The sequence below is a fragment of the Homo sapiens genome, chromosome 21, assembly GCF_000001405.40.
Source record: "Homo sapiens chromosome 21, GRCh38.p14 Primary Assembly".
NCBI lineage: Eukaryota > Metazoa > Chordata > Mammalia > Primates > Hominidae > Homo > Homo sapiens.
The window spans coordinates 42,615,471-42,615,784 of NC_000021.9; positions in this window are offsets into that span (position 1 = coordinate 42,615,471).

Below are 314 nucleotides of genomic sequence, written 5' to 3' on the forward strand. Positions count from 1 at the left end.
CCACACACACCACACACCACATACACACACCACACGCACCACACACCACACACTACACACCACACACACACCACACATACATCACACACCACACACACACTACACACACATCACACGCCACACACCACATACACACACCACATACACCACACACCACACACAGTACACACACACCACACACCACACACACATCAAACACCACACACACTACGCGCACACCACACACCACATACACACACACCACACACATACCACACACCACACACACCACACACCACACACACCACACACCACATACACACACACACCACACG